At 43.9% G+C, this 24853-nt stretch overlaps 1 protein-coding gene across 163 annotated transcripts in view, besides 2 other annotated features; it reads left to right on the top strand.

Moving 5' to 3' along the window:
* The window catches only part of MAP4 (microtubule associated protein 4), a 238154-nt gene that overhangs the window by 193234 nt on the left and 20067 nt on the right, over window positions 1-24853 (top strand). For 89 of the 163 annotated variants that reach the window (NM_001384867.1, NM_001384839.1, NM_001384848.1 and 86 more), the window contains 5 exons: window positions 18092-18198; window positions 19715-19930; window positions 23515-23698; window positions 24329-24388; window positions 24510-24802. In NM_001384867.1, the coding sequence (NP_001371796.1) occupies window positions 18092-18198; window positions 19715-19930; window positions 23515-23698; window positions 24329-24388; window positions 24510-24802 (860 nt within the window). The remainder of the gene's footprint in view (window positions 1-18091; window positions 18199-19714; window positions 19931-23514; window positions 23699-24328; window positions 24389-24509; window positions 24803-24853) is intronic. The other 74 variants (NM_001384845.1, NM_001384817.1, NM_001384746.1 and 71 more) reach the window with 9 other exon arrangements.
* Window positions 10985-11064: an enhancer, noted in NCBI's record as "active region_19820". NCBI's record gives its function as "activates an Ori minimal core promoter by ATAC-STARR-seq in GM12878 lymphoblastoid cells {active_cell/tissue: GM12878}" and the evidence as "EXISTENCE:reporter gene assay evidence [ECO:0000049][PMID:35858748]".
* Window positions 24174-24674: an enhancer, noted in NCBI's record as "H3K4me1 hESC enhancer chr3:47912431-47912931 (GRCh37/hg19 assembly coordinates)". NCBI's record gives its function as "activates a minimal SCP1, AML or CMV promoter by ChIP-STARR-seq in naive H9 embryonic stem cells {active_cell/tissue: H9 hESC(naive)}" and the evidence as "EXISTENCE:reporter gene assay evidence [ECO:0000049][PMID:30033119]".

Here is a 24853-nt window from a genome sequence, read left to right as displayed (position 1 = left end):
TTCTATGCTTGTTCTTTGCCTTGGTATTTTCCACTTCTTCAGAATATAAGGGCCAACTACCACTTTCTTCAGACATGCTGCAACGTCCGCCATGCCCAGTCATGCCTCTGCCAATAGGCAGCACTCCCGCATGAGACAGAAAGGTTACTGAAGATACTGCCTAGTGGAGTCCCAGGTTGAAGTCATACTTTGAGCTGGACATAGCAGTGGGCCTGTGATTACTTGAATGGCTGTTTCAACTTCAGAAGTGAAAGTGGTAAAACTGAATCCAAGAGCACCTTAAAGATTCCCCTCCTTTTATAGAGGAAGAAACTGAAGCTAAGAGCAGTTAAATGAGTTTCTAAGACTCTTAACTATTAAGTGACACAGATTTTAAAATCTGGCCTTCTGACTCAAAGTCAAATTAATTTTTTCCCCACCATGTCAGTAAATTAAGGGTGTATATGTGTGTGTCGTTTGTGGGGGGTGACTAGTTTACACAGAATGGGGTTGTTGAGGCTTACCTGATTTCTAAGGTATTTTCCAGAGTTTTCCTCTGGTATATTCAGACTGTATTACAACAATATCTTCCTCACCCCCTTTTTTTTTTTTTTGGACAGGGTTTCCTCTCACCCAGGCTGGAGTGCAGTGATGTGATCACGGCCCACTGCAGCCTTGACTTACTGGGCTCAGGCAATTCTCCCACCTCAGCCTTCTGAGTAGCTGGGACCACAATTGTGATCACCATGCCCACCTAAATTTTTGTACTCTTTGTAGAGACAGGGTTTTGCCATGTTGCCCAGGCTGGTCTCAAACTCCTGGGCTCAAGCAATCTGCCCACCTCAGCCTCCCAAAGTGCTGGGATTACAGGTGTGAGCCATGGCACCCAGCCATCTCCAGACTTTCATAATTTTCCTCACATATTGTACATACTTAATTATATTATTCAATTATATGTATAAAAAAAGAAAGCAAGAATTCAACTATGTTGTATTACCAAGGCCTTTCTGTACCCAATCTCGCCTCATATTTTTTCTTTTTTTTTTATTTTTTGAGACGGAGTCTTGCCCTGTCGCCCAGGCTGGAGTGCAGTGGCGTGATCTCAGCTCACTGCAAGCTCCGCCTCGTGGGTTCACGCCATTCTCCTGCCTCAGCCTCCTGAGTAGCTGGGACTACAGGCACCCACCACCATGCCCAGCTAATTTTTTGTATTTTTTAGTAGAGACAGGGTTTCACCATGTTAGCCAGGATGGTCTCGATCTCCTGACCTCGTGATCCACCTGCCTTGGGCTCCCAAAGTGCTGGGATTACAGGCGTGAGCCACCACACCCGGCCAATCATATTTTTTCTTGTTACTAATTAGAATCATGATTCTCCTGGCATTCTTCATTTTGTTATACCTCACTTCCTTTTCCTTAGCAAGATCTTTGCCATAGAGTATGGAAACCAGGTTCCTTGCCAGTTAATCTGTATTGTGCTTTGTCATGTATTGTTACTAAACAGCTCAAGATCAAGGGGAAGAAATGTATATGAGGCTCAGTTCATGTTCAGTTTTTTTTTTTCAGCATTGCAACATTGCCACTCATCATCATGAGTGTAGCCCTGTGTCAGGTACTGAAGGTAATGGAAAAGGTATATAAGGTTGATCCCTGTACTCTTGTTGGGAACTTGAGTGGTATGAATAGAGAAGGTGAGTTCTTGGGGACAGAGGCTACAGTTTAGCAAGCTTTCCTATGCGGACCTTGGTAATTTCTTTACATTTTATAGACCAAAGAACAATCTTAACTTGCCCTTTTTTCTAAAGGCATTGTTTAAAAACTGTCATCAAATCATTGCAGTTTATGGCAAATGGCCTTTTTTTAAAAAAAAAAAAAAAGCAATCTAAATCTTTTCTTCATCTTGGAAAAAGACTTCTCTTGGATTTCTGATAGAATATTTCCAGTATGCTATGTTATTGCAAGACAGTAACTTACAGCTAGACAAGAAAAATCAGCTTTGTTCAAAGTAAGAGTATAGCCTGTCCTTATAGTGTAATTTTTTTCTCACAGTTTTGTTTTATGGTTCCTTCAGTTTGAATATACAATATTTGAGCTCAAAGCCCAGGGCAGCAAAGGACCATGCTGAGTTAAATGGGGGCAGTAAGCTCTGGTGAGTGGGGAAAACTCCAAGCTACAATTGTTAGAGTCCCTAAGTCTGGAGGTCAGAGAAAGATGCACTGCCCCCAGTGTGTTCACATGACACCTAACAGATTATTAGGCTGGAAAGAGCAGGGCTTGGTAGTGGAGGGAGCAACCCAGCTCATCCAAGGAACCAAGTGGGGGCAGGGACAGGCGTAAATGCATAAGGGGTATGTTGTCACACAAATGTCTTATAATTAGAATATCTATCCCCAAAGCCCTGATCACTGAAGTCTTTAAATGAACCCTTTATTAAACTCTTCCATTATGCAGAGCTACAGATGGAGCTCTTACGGGTTTTGGGGACCCCACTCAAGTCAGTTTTCAAGTTAGTTTGATAAGTTGCTATGACAGCAAACCCACTCTTCCTCTGAGAATGAATGCCTGCAATCTTAATACTACGTTAAGGTGTGGTTTTTTTTTTTTTTTTTTAGTCCAATTTTGAACAATTTCCTGGATTCATTGTTCTTCAGGGTTATAGCTGGGGATTGGCAAATGAGTCTCGGTTATTTTTAAAACAGTTTTCTGAGTGGTTGAATGTGGAAGGGTGGGCATGGTATCAGATAAATGAGTGTGTGGGTATGCACGTATCTATATCAGTGAAAGCCAAAATAATTACTATCCTTAGTGCTTGGATTGGCACCATACTGTGTTTTAAATTGCAGATCTAAACAGAGTGCTAGTTCACGGGAAATTACATTCTCAGATTAAAGTAGCATTTTGTTGTGCAGAAAGCAGCAGGTTCCTTCCTTTCTTTCGCTTTCATTCATTCTTCCTTTCTTTCTTTCTTTCACATTTGTAAGTGCATTTAATACTCAACTGCTTGAGGAGAGAGGGGCATTGAGGGAGAGATGAATTTTGTCATGAATACTGGGGAATTGGTGTGATGTCACTGCAAGCTCTGTGTGATCGTAGGTGGTATTAGAGCTCCAGGAGCGAAAGCAGGGAGAGCAGTGGAGGAGAGACGATGTCGCTCTCAGACAAGCAGACAGCCTCTCTCACTGCCGCGTACGGTCAGCTCAGTAAGGGCAAGCCTGCAGAGTGCCGAATGGACTCCCCAAAAGAAATCAGTCAAGCCGGATTCGAATGGCAGAGGACAGAGGGCAAACTGAATGAAATTGGGCTGAATGTCAGCATGGACGGGCAACCAAAAGATGGGCTTGTGAAGAATGCCAGCTTCCTGGAGCAGAACAAGCTCTGCTTTTTTGAGGGGAAGCTAGACAAAGAGCTGAGCATTGAAATGCAGGACAAGGACTGTCAAGAAGCCTCAGGTCACCTTGAGAGCAGGTATGTGATTTCAGAGACCTGCCATCCCTTGGAGGGGAACTCGGTACACCAGAAGACCTCCGAGTTCCATCTGGGACTCATAGAGGGGCCAGACAAAAACAAAACCATTCCAGTTCAGGGGAAGGTGGCAGGGAAGAATGGACTAGAGACCAAGAGCCAGTCAGATCTGGATTTCCCTGGGGCTGCTGACATCCCTACCAGATATGTTAAGGAGCAGGAAACCAGTGTTTGGAACCCCAGCTTTCATCCAGTGGCTCAAGGCTCTCTGGGCTCAAGGGAAGCAACTCCGGGAGAGATGGAGAATAGCATCACCCCTGGCTGCCCAGTGATTGGGGTGGTAAATGATAACTCTGAGCAGCTGAAGTGTGAGTCCCCACTCCTGGTGTCTCTAGCCCACCCAGCCCCCATTATTGAGCATTCACCCACCACCATTCCGCCAATCACTATGGTGTTCACCCAGGAACATTTGAATGCAAGCTGTCACATCAGAGACCATGATAAGGAGTTGGAGAAATTGAGTTCTACCGAGGAGGCTGTGCTCAACCAAGCCCCCCAGCAGAAAAAGGCAGTGCGCAGGGCCCTGTCTGAATGTTCTCACCTCTCAGTTCCCCCAGCTGTCAACCTTGCAGATAAGTACCCTGAACTCCCTGCCCGAGAAGAGCCTTCTTCTGGCCTGCTGCCTCCCCCTAGTAGCCCAATGCCTAGTCCTACACCTGGGAAACTGGGAGCTCCTGCTATGAAGCGCTCCATGACTGTGGGTGAGGAACAGACAGCTAGCTACAAATTGAGCCCTGGGAAACTGCCCATCTTGTCTACTAAAGAGATACCTCCTTTCATCTGTGAGGAACCAGTGGCCAAGAAGAGAGAAGAATTGGCTCACTTCAGCAACAGCAGCAGCAACTCTGGGAAGAAGGAACTCGGCACTGCTGGATTATATCTCCATAGTAAGCTGGAGCAGATTCCTGAAGGAAGCAGCAAGGAAAAAGGGCAGGAAGATTTTAGTGAAACTAGAATTGATTCATGCTCGCAGGTTTGCCAGCGAGGAGAGAAACAGCCAGGACAGACGGCTCTGGCAGGGAAGAAAGAAATTGAGGTCACTGCAACCCAGAGCACTCCATCGTTCCTGTTTGAAAAGCCCCCACGTGATGGTATGTTTCTAAATTTTGCCTCCATTGGGAACAAGCAGACAGCAAGGAAGGAACCAAAGTGACAGATTACCGGCAGAGCACTAAGCAGCTTTTTACAGCTGGGTTCTGTGACTGCCTGGGGAAAGCTTAATTCCCTTGTGTTGGAAGCTTGCTGGGAGTGAGGCAAGGAAGAGAACAAAGTGAATCTTGCAGGGTCAAGCTGAATGTCTTGCTAGCATGACAGATAATGTGAATTGAGTGTGCAAGTTTGGGGTGGAATGGGGTCAGAGAATGGTGGGTATAAAAACTAGACCCCCTTTCTTGACCTCATGTCACCCTGTCCAACCCATCCCCCATCCACCCAGCCCTCAGCTCCCTGTTGGTTTGAACCAGATGATTCCTGAGCTCTAAATCCTTCAATCCCAACTGATTGATTTCCTTGCTTGAAAATCTGTCACTTTATATAGATTCACAATGGGTTTATCAGCACTAACCTCCTCTCATTAAGTTGCACAATCTGGGTGGAAGCTCTGTTTTCTGTTTTTGCTTTGGAGAACGTTTTACTTTTGTTCAAACTGAAAAAGAGCCCTTTAAAGCTAGCTATTTAATATTCTTTCTGTGTTCTTCATGTTTGACCCAATCTTGCTTCTAGTTTTCTCTTTTTGTATGTGTTTTGAGAGGATTTGTGGGGAGAAAAAGAAGAAAGAGAAAGCAGGGAGAGAAGGAGAGACTTGCAACCTAATAAACAGCTAAATTTTGCGGTCTTTGTGACAGCCTTTTGTGTCTTTCTTCCTGGCCCTTTCTTTTCTTCCCCATCTCCCATCCCCCCACAGCTCTTATTGTGGTGGTCTAAAAAAGCTTGTGTTTCTCCGAGTCCAGTTTGAGCACAAAGGGCCATAATTCACAAACTTGTAAATGGGGATTTAAAACATGTGTTTTGCTTGTTTAAAAAAAAATAGTCTTGTTTCCTGGGACCTGTTTTCTCTAATATTTATTACTCTCAGTATATTTTTATGAAATTGTACTTTTTTTCTTTGAAAGTAAGAAATGGTATTTTCTAGGGGAGTGGTAAGTAGAAGACATACAGATGTTTTGGGTTTTTTTTTTTTATGGAGATAAAAAACATTTTTTGTTTTTTATGGAGATAAAAAACACGTTTTTTTATGGAGGCAAAGAAGCTTAATAGTTCCTCTTTGATTTCTTATGACTCCAGAATTACAAGCATTCAGGTGTCCCATGCTGTTGCTTCCTTCTAGCTGGGACAGAACTGTAAGCTCTTCCTGGACAGGACTTTGTCATCTTTTTCTTGATCCCCAGGTGCTTTGTTCAGTACCACATAACTTCTAGGTGATCATGAGTGAAGACTTTGTTTCAGAACAAGTTCTTTCTAATTCAGACTAACAGAAGTTTGTGCTAATAGAAAAAAATTTCAGATGACTGACAAATCCACCGATCCATTCACCCGATAAATGTTTAAATGCTGACTCTGCTAACCACTCTGTAGATAAAACTTTTATAGGAAGATTGTTTCATTTAACATGCCTACCATTTGCATTCACTATCTAGGCACTGGAAATTATCCTTATCCTCAAGCAACTTTTGATCCAGTTGGAGGACTGGGAGGCAGTGGGAGGGTTGTGAATTGTGGAAACATTTTGGAGGAAGTCACATTTGAGGTGGGCCTTGGAACCCTGGGATGCCAAATAATGCGGAGGGAAAGCCTTCCAGGCAAGGGAACTCATATTAAACAAAGATATGAAGCCTAGACAGCTCATGTTAGGTAAAAGAACAATGGAGGAATCTCAGGGCATCCAGTCACAGGAAATGTGGCCAGGCTGCTGCCATTGTGTATATCTCTCTTGGGACCTCTGCTTCTCCCTGCACATGTACTCCATTCTCTTCCCTTTAAAAATCTGTATTTCCTCTGTCATCTCTTTTTGCTTCCCTTGTAACTCTGCCCAGGACAGAATAGCATTGAGTTGCCATGGTTTGAGCTCTGTGGCCAGCTTTGTTACCACCATATATGTCAGGGTTCCGATGTTGCATGACTGTCATTTCCATGTCTTTGTCTATACTGACAATGAGTGAGTAATTATATCTTATTGGCTCAGCTTGGTCCAGTCAACTCTATACCAGGTCCCATAGCCTTCTTAACCAATCTGAGCCATTTAGACCCACCCGCTTCATTCACCTTGAGGCTTCTCTAAAGGAGAGAGTATAGGTTAAGGAAATATTCCAAAGCCGTCTTTACATATGTGACAAGAAATAATGGGAGAAAATTCTAGAAAGTTGTTTGGAATCCAATCTTGCTAAGCTTCAAATGTCCCACTGAAAAGTTTAAAGCTTACTACTGTGTCTGGAATTGGTGGGTTCTTGGTCTCACTGACTTCAAGAATGAAGCCACGGACCCTCGCGGTGAGTGTTACAGCTCTTAAGGTGGTGCGTCTGGAGTCTGTCCCTTCTGATGTTCAGATGTGTTCGGAGTTTCTTCCTTCTGGTGGGTTCGTGGTCTTGCTGGCTCAGGAGTGAAGCTGCAGACCTTGGCAGTGAGTGTTACAGCTCTTAAGGCAGCGCGTCTGGAGTTGTTCGTTCCTCCCGGTGGGTTTGTGGTCTCACTGGGCTCAGGAGTGAAGCTGCAGATCTTCGCGGTGAGTGTTACAGCTCATAAAAGCAGAGTGGACCCAAAGAGTGAGCAGTAGCAAGATTTATTGCAAAGAACGAAAGAACAAAGCTTCCACAGTGTGGAAGGGGACCCGAGCGGGTTACCAGTGCTGGCTCGGGCAGCCTGCTTTTATTCTCTTATCTGGGCCCACCCACATCCTGCTGATTGGTAGAGCCGAGTGGCCTGTTTTGTCAGGGCACTGATTGGTGCGTTTACAATCCCTGAGCTAGATACAAAGGTTCTCCGTGTCCCCATCAGATTAGTTAGATACAGAGTTTCGACACACAGATTCTCCAAGGCCCCACCAGAGCAGCTAGATACAGAGTGTCGATTGGTGCACTCACAAACCTTGAGCTAAACACAGGGTGCTGATTGGTGTGTTTACAAACCTTGAGCTAGATGCAGAGGTTCTCCAAGGCCCCACCAGAGCAGCTAGATACAGAGTGTCGATTGGTGCATTCACAAACCTTGAGCTAAACACAGGGTGCTGATTGGTGTGTTTACAAACCTTGAGCTAGATACAGAGTGCCGATTGGTGTATTTACAATCCCTGAGCTAGACATAAAGGTTTTCCAAGGCCCCACCAGAGCAGCTAGATACAGAGTGTCGATTGGTGGATTCACAAACCTTGAGCTAAACACAGGGTGCTGATTGGTGTATTTACAATCCCTGAGGTAGATATAAAGACTCTCCACGTCCCCACCAGACTCAGGAGCCCAGCTGGGTTCACCTAGTGGATCTCGCACTGGGGCTGCAGGTGGAGCTGCCTGCCAGTCCTGCGCCGTGGTGCGTTCGCATTCCTCAGCCTTTGGGTGGTTGATGGGACTGGGCGCCGTGGAGCAGGGGGTGGTGCTTGTCAGGGAGGCTCGGGCGGCACAGGAGCCCATGGAGGGGTGGGAGGCTGAGGCATGGCGGGCTGCAGGTCCCGAGCCCTGCCCCGCGGGAAAGCAGCTAAGGCTCAGTGAGAAATCGAGCGCAGCACTTATGGGCCGGCACTGCTGGGGGACTCAGTACACCCTCTGCAGCCACTGGCCCGGGTGCTAAGTCCCCCATTGCCCGGGGCCAGCAGGGCTGGCTGGCTGCTCCAAGTGCGGGGCCCACCAAGCCCACGCCCACCCGGAACTCCAGCTGACCCGCAAGTGCTGCGCGCAGCCCCGGTTCCTGCTCGCGCCTCTCCTTCCACACCTCCCTGCAAGCTGAGGGAGCTGGCTCTGGCCTTGGCCAGCCCAGAAAGGGGGTCCCACAGTGCAGCGGCGGGCCAAAGGGCCCCTCAAGTGCCGCCAAAGTGGGAACCCAGGCAGAGGAGGCGCCGAGAGCAAGCGAGGGCTCTGAGGACTGCCAGCACGCTGTCACCTCTCACTACCATGTTCTGAAACTGTGGTGACTGCCTATGATAGCAGATAAAGTAGCTCCAGGTCAGCTTTAGGAAGATTTACTTGTTCTCAGTAAGTGTGATGAACTGGAAGACAAAGAGTTGAAAGCAAACAATCCTGTTAGAAATTTGATTCAGGTAGTGGCAGATGAAACGCTGAGGATATGAGAGGGGAAATATAACAGGTGAAGATAAAGTGAAACTGGAATTTGGAAGGTGTGTGAGAAAAAGGAATTGAAGGTCATGCTGTGATGTGAGGCTGGTTTTCCCAGCCAGTGGTAGTATAGGTAATGGAAAGACCCAACAGAAGAGCACAGTTCATTGAAGGAGTTAGTAAGTTCCACATCAGACATTGCTTTTGTGAAACTCTGGGGATATGTGGGTGGTGGTCTCTAGAAATTGCCTGATAGCTGGGCTTGGTGGCTCATGCCTGTAATCTCAGCACTTTGGGAGGCCTTGGCAGGCAGATTACTTGAGGCCAGGAGTTTGAGACCAGCCTGAGCAACATGGCAAAAAACCCATCTCTATGGAAAAATACAAAAATTAGGTGGGCATAGTGGCATGTACCTATAGTCCCAACTGTTTGGGAGGCTGAGGTGGGAGGATTGCTCGAGCCCAAAAGGACAAGGCTGCAGTGAGCCAAGATCATGCCACTGTGCTCCAGCCTGGGAGATAGATCAAGATCAGGTCTCAAAACAAACAACAAAAAAGAAGTTGCCTTATATATCCATGAGACAAGGGAAAGGGCTTGGTGAGAACTACCTTCTGGGAGAGAGAAAGCAGTTTCTGCTTATGCACAGTTACATTTATTTGTATAGGTCGAGTTACTGCATGCCTGTATCATAGACAATGCGACTTTATGAAATATGTTGTTTACTGAAAAATGCTGAACTTATTGAAAAATATTTATAGTGGTCTGGGGCCAGTGGCAGCTAGTTACACAAGTAAGATCTTCTTTGAGCTTGCTGTAGAACAAAGGCATTAGCCGGGCGCGGTGGCTCACGCCCGTAATCCCAACACTTTGGGAGGCCGAGGCGGGCGGATCATGAGGTCAGGAGATCGAGACCATCCTGGCTAACACAGCGAAACCCCAACTCTACTAAAAATGCAAAGAATTAGTTGGGCGTGGTGGCAGGCGCCTGTAGTCCCGGCTACTCGGGAGGCTGAGGCAGGAGAATGGCATGAACCCAGGAGGCGGAGCTTGCAGTGAGCCGAGATGGCGCCACTGCACTCCAGCCTGGGTGACAGAGCGAGATTCCGTCTCAAAAAAAAAAAAAAAAGAACAAAGGCGTTAACAAATTTGCACAGTTGTTGGCTATGGTTTTTCCCCATTACATTTTAAAACTAGAAAAATACTCAGTTTTTGACTAAAAGTACATATGGTTCAAACATCAAAAAGTACAAAGTGCTCTCCATTACAAAAACCTCCTACCAAGACAAGATGGTATCATCTCATTGTTTTCTGCTCCTCCCCTGTAAATACAACTAAATAGTCTGGAAATAATTGAAGATAATTCCATAAAAGAATATGAGGTAGAAAGAAGGCAAACCTGGTAGGGATCTCAGGACTTGAGGAATGGCAATACAGTGAATTCCCTGGGACTGATGAATTGATTGATTGATTGATTGATTGATTGATTGATGGTAGAGATGGGATCTTGCTATGTTGCCCAGGCTAGCCTTGACCTCTTGACCTCAAGTGATCCTCCTTGCTTGACCTCCCAAAGTGCTGGTATTACAGGCATGAGCCACTGCGTCCATCCCCTGGGTTTTCTTTTTGTCTCCTACATATCCCTGGCTGGGCACTGGAGAGGCCTGTAACCTGGAATTACCAACAGGCATAGACTGAAAAGAAAAGGAAAGGAAAAAAGAAAACAAATAGAGAAAATCTGTTCTCTATTGCCAAAAAAACAAGAAAGAAAAAAACCCAGCAAAGACCTAATGGTGAGCCCTGTTTCACTACCCATCCCCAGCAGTGGGCTCAGTCTGCCTGCAGGTACAGTGTCAATGCAGCCCATAAGGGCCTTCCTGTTGTCCACTCCATACTCAGCAGAAGCTATAGGCCTGGTCCGCCCACATCACCAGCAACTGCAGGGAGGCCTGTCCCCTACCAGGTAACAGCACCAGTGGCTTCTATAGCCCTGGTGTCTTGTAATCCTCTACCCAGGGGCAGGAGACTTTCGTAGGTTTCAGAACCTCTACTTCCTTCCCCTTAGCAAGAGAAAGCCCCCGAGGTAGGTGTTTCCTGCTCCCAGCAACCCCAGCAGAGATCAAACAGGAGGTCTGCCTGGGTCCCAGGCAGCCAGAGAGCAGTCCAGAGGAAGCTCTCTATTCTATGTTTCCAGCATCACTCAGCCCCTATGTGCTGACACTGGGTGACACAGGTAAGTCCCTACAGCCCTTTCAGGCAGTACCAAAAGGGATTAGTTAGAACCTTAGCAGAATCAGAACACAACAGGCCATAAATGCATTGCAAGGGCTCTAGGAACCAAATTGTCATCAGAACTACAGTCATAACCTGTAGACTAAATATAAACAGGGTGATTGCATGCTAAAGTACAAAATCAGAATTTTAAAGCAGCCATCATAAAAGTGCTTTAACAAGCAATTATGAATTCTCTTGAAACAAATGAAAACTAAAAACCTCAGTAAAGAAATAGAAGTTACATAAAAAGAACCAAATGTTAATTGTCAATATGAAAAATATAATAATTAAAATTAAAAACTTCAATGGGCTCAGCAGCAGACTGCAGATAACAGAGGACAGAATCAGTGACGTTGAGGACAGATCAATAGGATTTATTCAATCTGAACAACAGACGAAAAAATGGTCTACAAGGAAAAAACATATCTTCAGACCCATGGGACAATAACAAAAGATCTAACATTTGTATCATCAGAATCTCAGGAGAGGAGCAAGGATGCAAGGCTGAACAACTGTTCAAAGAAATAATGACAACAAACATCCCAAATTTGACAAAAGACAAAACTTACAGATTCAAGCAACTGAACAAATACCAAATAGGATAAATGTGGAGAAATCATGCCATGACTTTTCATAATTAAACTTTTATAAACTAAAGACAAAAATCTGTAAAAAAAGCAAAGAGATATGATGCATTAGGGAAACAGCAATTTTTTTTTTTAACCTTCCTTATGGTGCTGAGGAAACAGCATTTAAATGACAGCCTGTTTCTTATCAGAAACTGGGGAATGCAAAAAGAAGTGGCACAACATTTTTCAAGTGCCAAAAGAAAAGAACTGTCAACTGCAAATTATTTGGTAAAACAATCCATCAGGAATGAAGGGGAAATAAATAAAAAAGACATTTTTAGATAAAGGAAAACTAAGAATTTGTTGCTAGTAGACATACCCTTAGAGAATGGCTAAAGGAGGCTCTCCAAAAAAATAAGATTTGGTAACAGAAGGAGGCTTGGAATTTCAGAAATAAAAGAACAACAATGGAATGGGTAAAAATATGGAAATAGCCAGGTATGGTGGCTCATGCCTGTAATCCCAGCACTTTGGGAGGCCAAGGCGGGTGGATCATCTGAGGTCGGGAGTTCGAGACCAGCCTGACCAACATGGAGAAACCCCCGTCTCTACTAAAAATACAAAATTAGCCGGGCGTGGTGACGCATACCTGTAATCCCAGCTACTCAGGAAGGCTGAGGCAGGAGAATCGCTTGAACTCGGGAGGTGGAGGTCGTGGTGAGCCATGCCACTGCACTCCAGCCTGAGCAACAAGAGCAAAACTTGGTCTCCAAAAAAAAAGGAATATAATAGACTTATCTCCTCATGAATTTTTTAAAGTCATAAATCATATTTGAAGCACAAATTGTAATGCCATCTGATGTAGTGCTTAATCTATGAAGAGGAAACACTTAAGACATATTTTAGGGCTGGGCGCAGTGGCTCACACCTGTAATCCCACCACTTTTGGAGACCAAGGTGGGTGGATCACCTGAGGCCAGGAGTTTGAGACCAGCCTGGGCAACATGACGAAACCCCATCTCTACTAAAGATAAAAAGAAAAATTAGCCAAGCATGGTAGCGCACACGTGTAATCCCAGCTGCTCGGTTGGCTGAGGCATGAGAATCACTTGAACCTGGGAGGCAGAGGTTGCAGTGAGCCGAGATTGTGCCACTACACTCCAACCTGGACGACAGAGTGAGACTCTGTCTTTAAAAAAAAAAATTAAAGTAGGGAGAAAATAAAGGATCCTAAATGGAAGTAAGGTTCCAGTAGGTCACTCAAAGTAGTAAAACATAGCTGGGTGTGGCGGTGTGCATCTGTAGTCCCAGCTACTCAGGAGGCTGAAGACGGCAGGATCACTTGAGCCCAGAGTTTGAGACCAGCCTGAGCAACACAGTGAGACCCCATCTCTAGAGGAAAAAACAGTAGTAGAACATTGATACCAGTTTGTTGTATGTATATTGTAATACCTAGAGCAACCACTAAGAAAACTATACAGAGCAATATACTCAAAAGCTTTTTTTTAATAAAAATAGAATTCTAAGAAATGTTCAGGTAACCTTGGGTGAGATGTAATTTGAAAAAATGAAAAAAGGAAATTAAAAAGATTAAAAATGTTCAGGTAACCAACAGGAAGGCAGGAAAGTGAAACAGAAATGAGAAAAAGAGAGAACAAATAAAAAATAAAATATCAGACTTAAGCCTTAACATAGCAGTAATTATTTTACTTTATTTCATTTATTTTTTTATTTACTGAGATGGAGTTTCACTCTTGTCACCCAGGCTGGAGTGCAGTGGTACAATCTCAGATCACTGCAACCTTCACTTCCCAGGTTCAAGCGATTCTCCTGCCTCAGCCTCCCAAGTAGCTGGGATTACAGGCGCCCACCACAACGCCCGGCTAATTTATGTATTTTTAGTAGAGATGGGGTTTCACCCTGTTGGCCAGGCTGATCTCCAACTCCTGACTTCAGGTGATAAGCCCACCTCGGCCTCCCAAAGTGCTGAATGGATTACAGGCGTGAGCCACTGTACCTGGCCATCAGGAATTATTTTAGAAGCAAATGGTCTGAGTACTACAATTAAAAGACAAAGATTGGAAGAGTATATTATTTTTAAAAAATGACTCAAGTAGGCCAGGTACAGCGGCTCCTGCTTGTAATCCCTTTAGGAGGCTGAGGCAGAAGGATCACTTGAGCCTAGGAGTTCGAGACCAGCCTGAGCAACCCAGGGAGACCCCATCTCTACAAATAATTTAAAAATTAGCCAGGCATGGTGGCACATGCCTGTGGTCCTAGCTATTCAGGAGCTGAGGTAGGAGGATCACTTGAACCGAGGAGGTAGAAGCTACAGTGAGTACAGTCAGCCATGATCACACCTGTCTTAAAAAGAAAAAAAAATTGCCCAAGTATATGCTATCTACAAGAAATGCATAACAAACATAAGGACATAGGTAGGTTGAAAGTTAAAAGATGGAAAGAAATATATCATGTTAACAATTTTTTAAAGTAGCAGTAGCTATATATAATGATTATGCATATATATATATATATATATATATATATATATATATATATATATATATATAGTTGTTTTTTCTTGTTGCCCAGGCTGGAGTGCAGTGGCCTGATCATAGCTCACAGCAGGCTTGACTCGCTGGGCTCAAGCAATCTTCCCACCTCAGCCTCCCAAGTATCTGAGTCTTATAGGCATACACCACCATGCCCCACTAATTTTCTTTCGATTTTTGTAGAGAGGAAGTCTCACTTTGTTGCCCAGGCTAGTCTCAAACTGCTGGCCTCAAGTGATCCTCTGCCTCAGCCTCCCAAAGTGCTGGGATTAAAGATTACGTGTCCTGGAGTGACTATACTAACATCAGACAAAGTAGATGTCGGAGAAAAGAATAAAGGATCAATCCCACTAAGATTGATCCTTACATTTAGAAAACTTAGCAATTCTAAATGTATACACACCAAAAAACAGAGCATCAAGATATATGAAACAAAAACTGACAGAGCTAAAAGGAGAAGTACACAAAGTCACAATTACAGCTGGGGACTTCTGTAACCCACTATGAACAGTTGATAGAACTACTAGACAGAATGTTAGTAAAGATGTAACAGTGCCATCAAACAACAAAATCTCATAAACATTGATAGAAATTCCACTCAGTGACAGAATGTACATTCTTCTCAGGTGTCCATTAAACACTCACCAAGATGGATCTTGGGTCATAAAACCAACTTGAATCAATTTAAAAGATTGAAATTATGATGGGGCATGGTGGTTTGTGCCTATAATCCCAGCACTTTGGGAAGCTGATGTGGGAGGACTGCTTGAGACCGGTCAGTTTGGGCCACATGGCAAGACCTCCATCTCTTCAAAAAAATTTTTTTTGTAAATTATTCAGGTATGGTGGCACGTACCAGTAGTCCCAGCTACTTGGAAGGCTGAGGCATTAGGGTCTCTTGAGCCCAGGAGTTCCAGGTGGCAGTGAGCTGTGATCATGCCACTGTACTGCAGCCTAGGCAACAGACTTCATCTCTTAAAAAAAAAAAAAAAAAAAAAACTGAAATTGGAATTATTTCAGGTATACAAGGTTAGTGCAATAATCAAAAGTAATTGTCAGCCAGGTGTGGTGGCTCACACCTGTAATCCCAACATTTTGGGAGGCCGAGGCAGGTGGATCACGAGGTCAGGAGATGGAGACCATCCTGGCTAACATGGTGAAACCCCATCTCTACTAAAAATGCAAAAAAAAAAAAAAAAAAAAAATTAGCCAGGTGTGGTGGCGGGTACTGTAGTCCCAGCTACTTGGGAGGCTGAGGCAGGAGAATGGCAGGAGGCGGAGCTTGCAGTGAGCTGAGATCACACCACTGCACTCCAGCCTGGGCGACAAAGTGAGACTCCATCTCAAAAAAAAAAAGTAATCTGTTATAGTCTGAAGAAAATAAATTGTAAACACAGAAAAATCGTTTAACAGAATCAAATAGCCATTCATGTTAAAACTCTCAGCAAAGTAGGAATAGAGAGGAACTTATTTAACTTGACAAAGAGCGTCTACAGAAAGCCTACAGCTAACATCATATTTAATGGTGAATAAGTGAATACTTTCTATCTAAGATTGGGAACAAGGCAAGGATATCTACTTGCACCACTCTTTTAAATATAGTGTACTGGAAGTTACTATAGAGATGGAGAACATAGTAGTTGCCATATATTTAGGGATTGGAAAGGGGATGGGGTAGATATGGCTATAGAGGGGTAACATGAAGAAGCCCTATTGATTGTAACCAGCCACTCCAGGCCAGGTAATCTGTAATCCCAGCACTTTGGGAGGCTAAGGTGGTGGTGGTGGTTACACAAAGCTACACTTGATAAAGTTGCATAGCACTACACACACAAACACACACACACACAAATGAGTGCATGTAAAGTGAAAAATCTGAGTAGGCTCTGTGGGTTGTCTCTGTTTCTTGGTTTTGATAGTATACTGTATTTACGTAGGATATCAACACTTGGGGAGACTGGGTAAAAGGGTACACAGGGACCTTCCCTATGTATTTCTTTGCAACTTCCTATGAATCTGTAATTATTTCTCAAAGTTTTAAGCCTCCTAACCTCCCCAGTTTTGTGTCCCATCCTTTCCCTCAAAAACGTTGTTCTGTTTAATTACAATCCTTTCAAAAATTCTTTTAAAATGCATATATAAGTGTATTTGCAATATCTTTTCCCTCATCCCTTTTCAAGACAAATAGTTTCACATTATACTTATGCTTTGTTGTTTTTTTTTTCACTTAATAGAGACCATTGCATAGTAATCATAAAAGAATTTCTCCATGCTTTATTTTTTCACATTCAGAGATTACATTGATATTTCTACCATAATAACCAGTTTTCTATTAACGGACTTCTGGGTTGTTCTTTTGCTTTTAGAAACAATGATCTGGTGGAAACCTTGCACATTTACTATTTGGCTGGTGTGTAAATACACTTCTAGGATAAATTACTAGAAATTGGTTTTCTAGATTAGAATTTATCTGTCCTTGTAATTTTCAGAAAATGACACTGCCAGGCAGCCCTGCCTATGGGTCATACAGTTCACATACCTACCAAGTATATTTCCCTATATTATTCTCAGTAGTTATTTTAAAATTTTAGGACTTTTGACAATATGTTAATATTAATGGCATTTCAGGCCAGGCATGGTGGTTCATGCCTGTAATCCCAGCACTTTGGGAGGCTGAGGTGGGTGGATCACTTGAAGTCAGGAGTTTGAGACCAGCCTGGCCAACATGGTGAAACCCTGTCTCTACTAAAAATACAGAAATTAGCTGGGTGTGGTGGTGCATGCTTGTAATCTAGCTACTTGGGAGGCTGAGGCAGGAGAATTGTTTGAATGGGGAGACAGAGGTTGCAGTGAGCCGAGATCGCAGCATTGCACTCCAGCCTGGGTGACAGATCAAGACTTTGTCTCAAAAAATAAAATGGCATTTCAGTGGGGTTTTTTTATTTTTCTTATACTTAACATTGTACATCTTTTCATAGTTTCAAAAAACTTTGTATCTCTTTTCTATAAAGTCTGTTCATATTGTTTTGCATTTTCCCAGTGGATTATTGGCCTTTGTAGCAGTTACTGATTTGTGGGAGTAATTTATAGAATAAGCTCTTTGTCTTTGGTATGAGGGTCAAGTATTTTTTCTGTTTGTCATTTGCCTTTTGACTTTTATTATAGTGTTTTGTCTTATTTTGTTTTTTGCCACATTGAAGTTTTTTATTTTTCTTTAGTCAAACTTATCTCTTGTGGCCTCTTGACTTTGTGCCAGTTAGAAATGCCTTCCCCCACAGCAAGGTTATACATTTCACAGTATTTTAATGCTCTCAGGTATAGTCCTATTGAAATCCAGAGTAACCTCTCCACAGAGAGGAGGCTATGTTGCCTTAGGCAGGAGACTTTATTTCTGGCCCTGAGTCTGGTTCCATGGGTCTCCTTGGCCTTGTTGAAAATCTGGGTCACTGTTAGAACTGGATCAGGTTAATCTCACATCCTCCATAAAGTGGTTCTTTATAGGGAAAGGAAGGAAAGGGAGTCATTGAATGATCTTCTGGCTCTTATCCCATCTCACAGCAACCTTTATTCCAAAGATAGACTGGTAGAAGAGGTTTTTGTCCTATTGCTTGGAGAGCTAGTGGTTGGAAGACAGAGTCCCTTTGGTCTCTAGGGAAGGGAAACCAAACTTAAAGGACCATTTTTTTCCACTGATCATTTGTGCATGTGTCCCTTAGACTGCTTCTCCACAGGGTCAGGCTCTCTGAATCTGAGGAATCTAAAACTGTCCTCCATCACAATGAGAACTTGGGAGGCTTGTCCACATTTCAGCAGCACAACCCTGTGGACTTTTTTCAGAATGAAGTGCTAGTTAGTGGTCTGTCTTTGCTAAACCTTGTATTTTCAAAATGGGCATGTAAAATGTTTGCTTAGCATAATTCCCACTCACCCTCTCCCCTTAGGAATAGCCAGGCCAGAAGAAGGAAGGCCTGTGGTGAGTGGGACAGGAAATGACATCACCACCCCACCGAACAAGGAGCTCCCACCAAGCCCAGAGAAGAAAACAAAGGTAGGTGCCAGAATGGTGGTTATCTTCTACTGCCATAATTTTTAAACGGAGTATCTTCTGCTGTTATTGCTTGAATCACGAATGAAATTTCTTTTTTCTGAGCTGTTATTGTCCTTCCTCATGTTTGGACATGCTTAGAAAATATCTTGTATTCTCATTTACCACAGTGGCCTAAACCAACTTTAAAATCTCAGCCTTTGACCCTATTATCTTATATATCTGTAAAAAATGTTCTGTAGAGGCCGGGCATGGTGGCTCATGCCTGTAATCTCAGCACTTTGGGAGGCCAAGGCGGGCGGATCACATCAGGAGATGGAGACCATCCTGACCAACATGGTGAAATCCCATCTCTACTAAAAATACTAAAATTAACTGGGCGTGGTGATGCATGCCTGTAATCCCAGCTACTCAGGAGGCTGAGGCAGGAGGATTGCTTGAACCAAGGAGTTGGAGGTTGCGGTGAGCCGAGATCATGCCACTGCACTGGGCTCCATCTCAAAAAAAAAAAAAAAAGTTCTGTAGAGATTGTTTCAACTTCCCTTAACAACAACAAAAAGGACAATTGCAAAAATATTCTGAAATAAATTCTGAATTATTTACTATTATCTCAGCGTTAGATGAAAGAAAAAAAAAGATTCTGAAATATCCATTCATGAAAAGAGAATGCAGATTTTGAAGGTGGATCATATAGCTTCAGATGCATAACTAGTACTTATTGCAAAGTTCAAAAGCCACACTGTAGGCTGTGGCTGCTATTGTCCCATCAAGATACAGGTAGTTTCAGCATGTTGTCCAGGGTCTTCAAAAAATTAAAAAGTTATTAAAAAAAATACAGGTAATAATGGCTGAATCACCTCCTGATGCTTTTCTTTTAGAATAGCCACCAAAAGTTAGTTAATTATTAAGAGTTAATTGTTTTACTGAATTAAATCTTCAGGTGCCAAACTGCCAGAATTTGTGCCACTATCATTAAGAAACTATTCCCAGGCCAGGCGCGGTGGCTCACGCCTGTAATCCCAGCACCTTGGGAGGCCGAGGCGGGCAGATCACAAGGTCAGGAGATCGAGGCCATCCTGGCTAAAACGGTGAAACCCCGTCTTTATTAAAAATACAAAAAATTAGCTGGGTGTGGTGGCACACGCTGGTAGTCCCAGCTACTTGGGAGGCTGAGGCAGGAGAATCGCTTGAACCTGGGAGGCAGAGCTTGCAGTGAGCCGAGATCGCCACTGCACTCCAGCCTGGGCGACAGAGAGAGACTCCATCTCAAAAAAAAAAAAAAAGAAAGAAAAAGAAAAAGAAACTATTCCCCATTTTCTTTCTCTATCCTGGTTTCATTCCATTATTTATTGAGCTCAGAAGAAAGAAATGCTAATTTTAAGTTGCATCTATCCTCATTGCTTATAATTTTACTTTGAATTGTGCAATTTATACTTTTTTTAATTTGTTTTTATTCTTGTCTGTTTGATGTTGCCCTTTAAAAAATAAAAATAAAAAATAAACAACAATCAACCTAAAGCCTTTGGCCACCACTCAACCTGCAAAGACTTCAACATCGAAAGCCAAAACACAGCCCACTTCTCTCCCTAAGCAGCCAGCTCCCACCACCATTGGTGGGTTGAATAAAAAACCCATGAGCCTTGCTTCAGGCTTAGTGCCAGCTGCCCCACCCAAACGCCCTGCCGTCGCCTCTGCCAGGCCTTCCATCTTACCTTCAAAAGACGTGAAGCCAAAGGTAAGTGGTCACCTAACTACTGTGCCGAGGAAAATTGTTCCCCTCTGAGTGTCAGATAGACAGATCCTTGTTGCTAACAGACAACAGAATCAGGCTGGTGGAATTGGGAAAAGGCAAGGGAAATGGGGGAGAGGGTGATTTGAAAATTGGCATGGCTACTCTGGACGCGCTGCCTATGGGTTAGCCCTGCTCCACGAGGAGCAGCCAAAAAAAGAAAAAAGAAAAGGAAATCAATTTGGGGCCCATTGATGCAGACATTAACATTTTGAAGCCCTTTTATGCTCTTACCTTTCCCTTCCCTGTTTGGAGGTAATACTCTATCTACTTAGGTTCTTCCTCCTTTCTCTCAGCTACCTACTCTTTACCTATTTAAGCACTTATTAACCAGTTTCCTCTACTCCACATACCAGTTAGATATTCTTTTTTGGTATAATTCCCACATCAAATGTAATTCTTTGTCTTTCCCTGTTATCATCCTGCAGAAGTTTTATCCATTACTATTGTGATATAACTAGTTCTTCCAGCTTATCTCAGCATGTTCCAGCATGATGTGATAACTTACTTTGCTTTGGGCATTAGGCCACCTCTCACTGAGCTACTTCTGAAGTCATCCAGTTTTCCAGGTCACCCACGGTTTCTGTATTGCCCAGAAACTGGTCACATTTGGAGCAGCATTAGTGTTACAGAATTGCTCCAGGAGGAGAGGATAGTGGAGGCTGTGGCTGCATTCCTTAACATCTTGTGTTATTTGAGAAGGGCCTTTAGGTCAGCCTGATAGTACTCTTTAAATTCATGGTACGAAATAGTTTCCCATGTTAAAATGTCAGTTTTTAATTTAATATGGTGAAGAAAACTGTGGAACCTAGGAGTTGAAGTCTAGGCTGAAGCCCTGGCCAAGAAACTGAAAAATCCTCTCATAAACTAGTAATGATAAAATCTTGTAAAGCTTTCTCTCTGATCCTCATTTATCCAGTTGGTTGCTTTTCTTGATCTTTAGAAAACAATAGGTTTGAATAAGAGGGCAGAGGGGAGGTGCCTGGAGCCCTGGCAGCAGGTCCTCCCTGTTGCTTATTCAGCAGCGGCTTCTGGGGGGTGACAGAGGAGAGTAGGAAGGAGAGGTGTCTAGTGAAATTTCACTCTATAATAATCATATAAATGAAGTGTAGTGTACTAGTTGCTGTATATACATGAACTTTTTTTTAATTTTTATTTTTTTGAGATGGAGCCTCGCTCTGTCACCCAGGCTGGAGTGCAGTGGCACAATCTGGGCTCATTGCAACCTCCACCTCCCAGGTTCAAGCATCTCTTGTGCCTCAGCCTCCCGAGTAGCTGGGATTACAGGCACCCGCCACCACGCCTGGCTAATTTTTTGTATTTTTAGTAGAGCTGGGGATTCACCACATTGGCCAGGCTGGTCTCGAACTCCTGACCTCAGGTGATCCGCCTGCCTCGGCCTCCCAAAGTGCTGGGATTACAGGCATGAGCCACCGCGCCAGTCCTGTTCTAATCTCTTTTATCCAGATGAGGAAATAAAGCTCAGAGAGGCCCAGCGATTTGCCAAATAGCACACTTAGAATTAAGGGGCCAAACCAGGACTGCAGCTCAGGCTTCTGACCCAGATTTGGCCAGTGGCCTCTTCATCTGCAGCTTATTTTGGTAGAAAGATTTGTAGAGACAGAGAGAGAAAAACCTATTCAGAAAAAATAAGTAGATTACGATTCTGGCAGAGAAGAAAATGTAAATTGGGAAACAGCAGAATAGCTCCAGTTAACTTCTGCAGGTTTTTGAAGCCAAGAGCCTGACATCTAAAAGATGCAACATCCTTTTGAGATTTCTATCCCACATAACTTTTTTCTAACTTATTTTATCATTATTACCCTCATGGCAAAATAATAAGACTATGCTAGATTATTCTGAATAATAGTCATAGTCTTAAAAATTTGATGCACATCCCAGAGAGCATCTGGTTTAGTCCTCAAATTTTAGAGCAATAGAAAAGGGAATCCTCTGGCCAAAATCCTACATGTTTCCAGCAGAGCTGGTAGCAGAACCACTTTCCCTGATTCCAGCCTTAGCGTTCTTCACACCATACTTAAGGCCTTTATTTGTGGAAATTGTCATTACCCTACATTTGCAGAGTTAGACTTTGGATGCCAGCCCTTAATTTCTAGTACCTCCTTAGCTGATTTTTCCATTTAACGATATCCTGCTTGTCGCTACCTACATACTGCCCTCTTTATAGCCACTTCTCTTGGAGGAAGAGAGCTGAGCCCACTGTGTCTGTGATTTGGCATACTCTCTTTTGTAATGTGGTAATTTGTTTATCAAAATAGTGTCTTCATCCCCTATCCCCGTAGAAACCAGGCTAAACTGATTCTTTCCCTTATTCACTAGAGACGTCATTCTCAGCCTCCATGTAAAAGGAACTAGAGTGACCCAGATGCCAAGCATCTATACTTGAGAGACTTTTTCCCTTTTGCTTTCAGACTGTAGCTGTGATATCAGTGCTTTTTATCCCTTCTGTTGATCAGGCCTGCCTCTTCTCATCGTCTCTGTGCTGAGACCTTTCATCCTTTATTTCCTGACATCACATATTATCAAAGCTGGTCCTTCATCACCCTCCATTCTAATCTCTTTATCCCGATGAGGAAATAAAGCTCAGAGGCTCAGTGATTTGCTGGAGTAGGGCTACAGCTCACGCTTCTGTCCCAGATTTGGCCAGTGGCCTCTCCATCTGCAGCTCAGTCCTGTTCAGCATTCTCTAGGTGCGTGTTAGCCAAAAGAATGGCTCGATTTGAACATAATTTTTAGTTTTTGTTTGTGTATGTTTAATCTTTGGTCAAGTATAATACATTAGATTTTATTACATTAAATACATTAGTATTTTTGGCATTTCTACAGAGGTTACATTAAAATATATGCGTGTGTGTGTGTGTATGATATATATAGCAGTAGATTTGGAGGCAAACGTAGGTTGTGGTGATGTACCCATCAGGGCTGTTCATTCTCACTGGCTCAAGTTGGATTGAAGTAGTTTTACTCTCTGTTGTGTGCCCTCAGATCACATAGCACCCTGCATGGCCAGTTTGTTGCTTTATGTGGAGGACTTTGCTCTTAGAACCATATGTATTTTCCTGTCAGTAGCTGCTGAACCCACAGTACCTCCTGTTCTCCAATACATGGTTGTATAGACACATCTTGTGTCCAGGTGCAGTGGCTCATGCCTGTAATCCCAGCACTTTGGGAGGCTGAGGCAGGCGGATCATGAGGTCAGGAGATCGAGATCATCCTGGCTAACACGGTGAAACCCTGTCTCTACTAAAAATACAAAAAATTAGCTGGGCGTGGTGGCACGTGCCTGTAGTCCCAGCTACTCTGGAGGCTGAGTCAGGAGAATTGCTTGAACCTGGGAGGCGGAGGCTGCAGTGAGCCGAGATCATGCCACTGCACTCCAGCCTGGGCAACAGAGTGAGACTTCGTCTCCAAAAACAAAACAAAACAAACAAAAAAAGAAGCATCTTGTAGCGTGACTCCTTGGGGCTATTGCTGACCTGCAGGCCTCATTCCCACTTTCCTATTTCCAGCCCATTGCAGATGCAAAGGCTCCTGAGAAGCGGGCCTCACCATCCAAGCCAGCTTCTGCCCCAGCCTCCAGATCTGGGTCCAAGAGCACTCAGACTGTTGCAAAAACCACAACAGCTGCTGCTGTTGCCTCAACTGGCCCAAGCAGTAGGAGCCCCTCCACGCTCCTGCCCAAGAAGCCCACTGGTGAGTATTGCCTTTCTCTCCCATGGGAACTAGGGAGGGGAAAATGGGATCTTGGCTTTGCCCCAGCCATAGCTCTAGCTAGTATCACAAACAGCTGTGCAGGCCTGCTTACGCACCGGTCCTTAGTGGACTACCTGGAACAGTGGTAGCCCTGTGGGCCTGGTACTTAACAAGCCTTGATCTCTGTGTGAGCTTAGCAGTTGTATGTATTCAGAAAAATCTTGAGTGAAGGCAGAAAAATGTACTGCTCATGAATTTCCAGGTAGAATTTACTCTTGCCTTAGTAACCCACAGCACCTAGCACGTGGTGCTCATGGGCTTACATGATGATAAGAAGAGGGCGTGGTGCTCATGGGCTTACATGATGATAAGAAGAGGGCTATTCAAGTCCATAGGCATGTATTGACAGCCTACTTTTAAGGCCACATAGAAGGCTTATCAGGGCAGTAGAGAAGAATAAGACTCAGTGCCTGACCATCTAATTTACCACTCCATTCCCAGGGACTAACACAGTCCCTGGCTCAAAGTAGATATTCAGTAATTGTTAAATAATGAGGAATCTCACTATTGGATGAACTATCCAACAGGTCAGTTTGTTAAATGTTATATTAATAAGTATATTTTGTACAGCCATTAAGACTGAGGGAAAACCTGCAGAAGTCAAGAAGATGACTGCAAAGTCTGTACCAGGTAATAGCCCATCCGCCATTTTGTAGAGCCCTAACTTGAACCCCCACCTCCTCTGTGGCTTAAGTCTCCCTTTTTCTCTCTCTCCCTGAACCCGTGTTATCTCTCACTCCCTTCTTTGCAGCTGACTTGAGTCGCCCAAAGAGCACCTCCACCAGTTCCATGAAGAAAACCACCACTCTCAGTGGGACAGCCCCCGCTGCAGGGGTGGTTCCCAGCCGAGTCAAGGCCACACCCATGCCCTCCCGGCCCTCCACAACTCCTTTCATAGACAAGAAGCCCACCTCGGCCAAACCCAGCTCCACCACCCCCCGGCTCAGCCGCCTGGCCACCAATACTTCTGCTCCTGATCTGAAGAATGTCCGCTCCAAGGTTGGCTCCACGGAAAACATCAAGCATCAGCCTGGAGGAGGCCGGGTGGGTCCAGGGAGCTTGGGGTCCTGGCATGCTGGCCCCTGCATCTTCCCC

This window comes from Homo sapiens, chromosome 3, assembly GCF_000001405.40.
Source record: "Homo sapiens chromosome 3, GRCh38.p14 Primary Assembly".
Lineage (NCBI taxonomy): Eukaryota > Metazoa > Chordata > Mammalia > Primates > Hominidae > Homo > Homo sapiens.
Note: the sequence above shows the minus strand (reverse complement) of the source record. Positions and strands in the feature narration are given on the sequence as shown.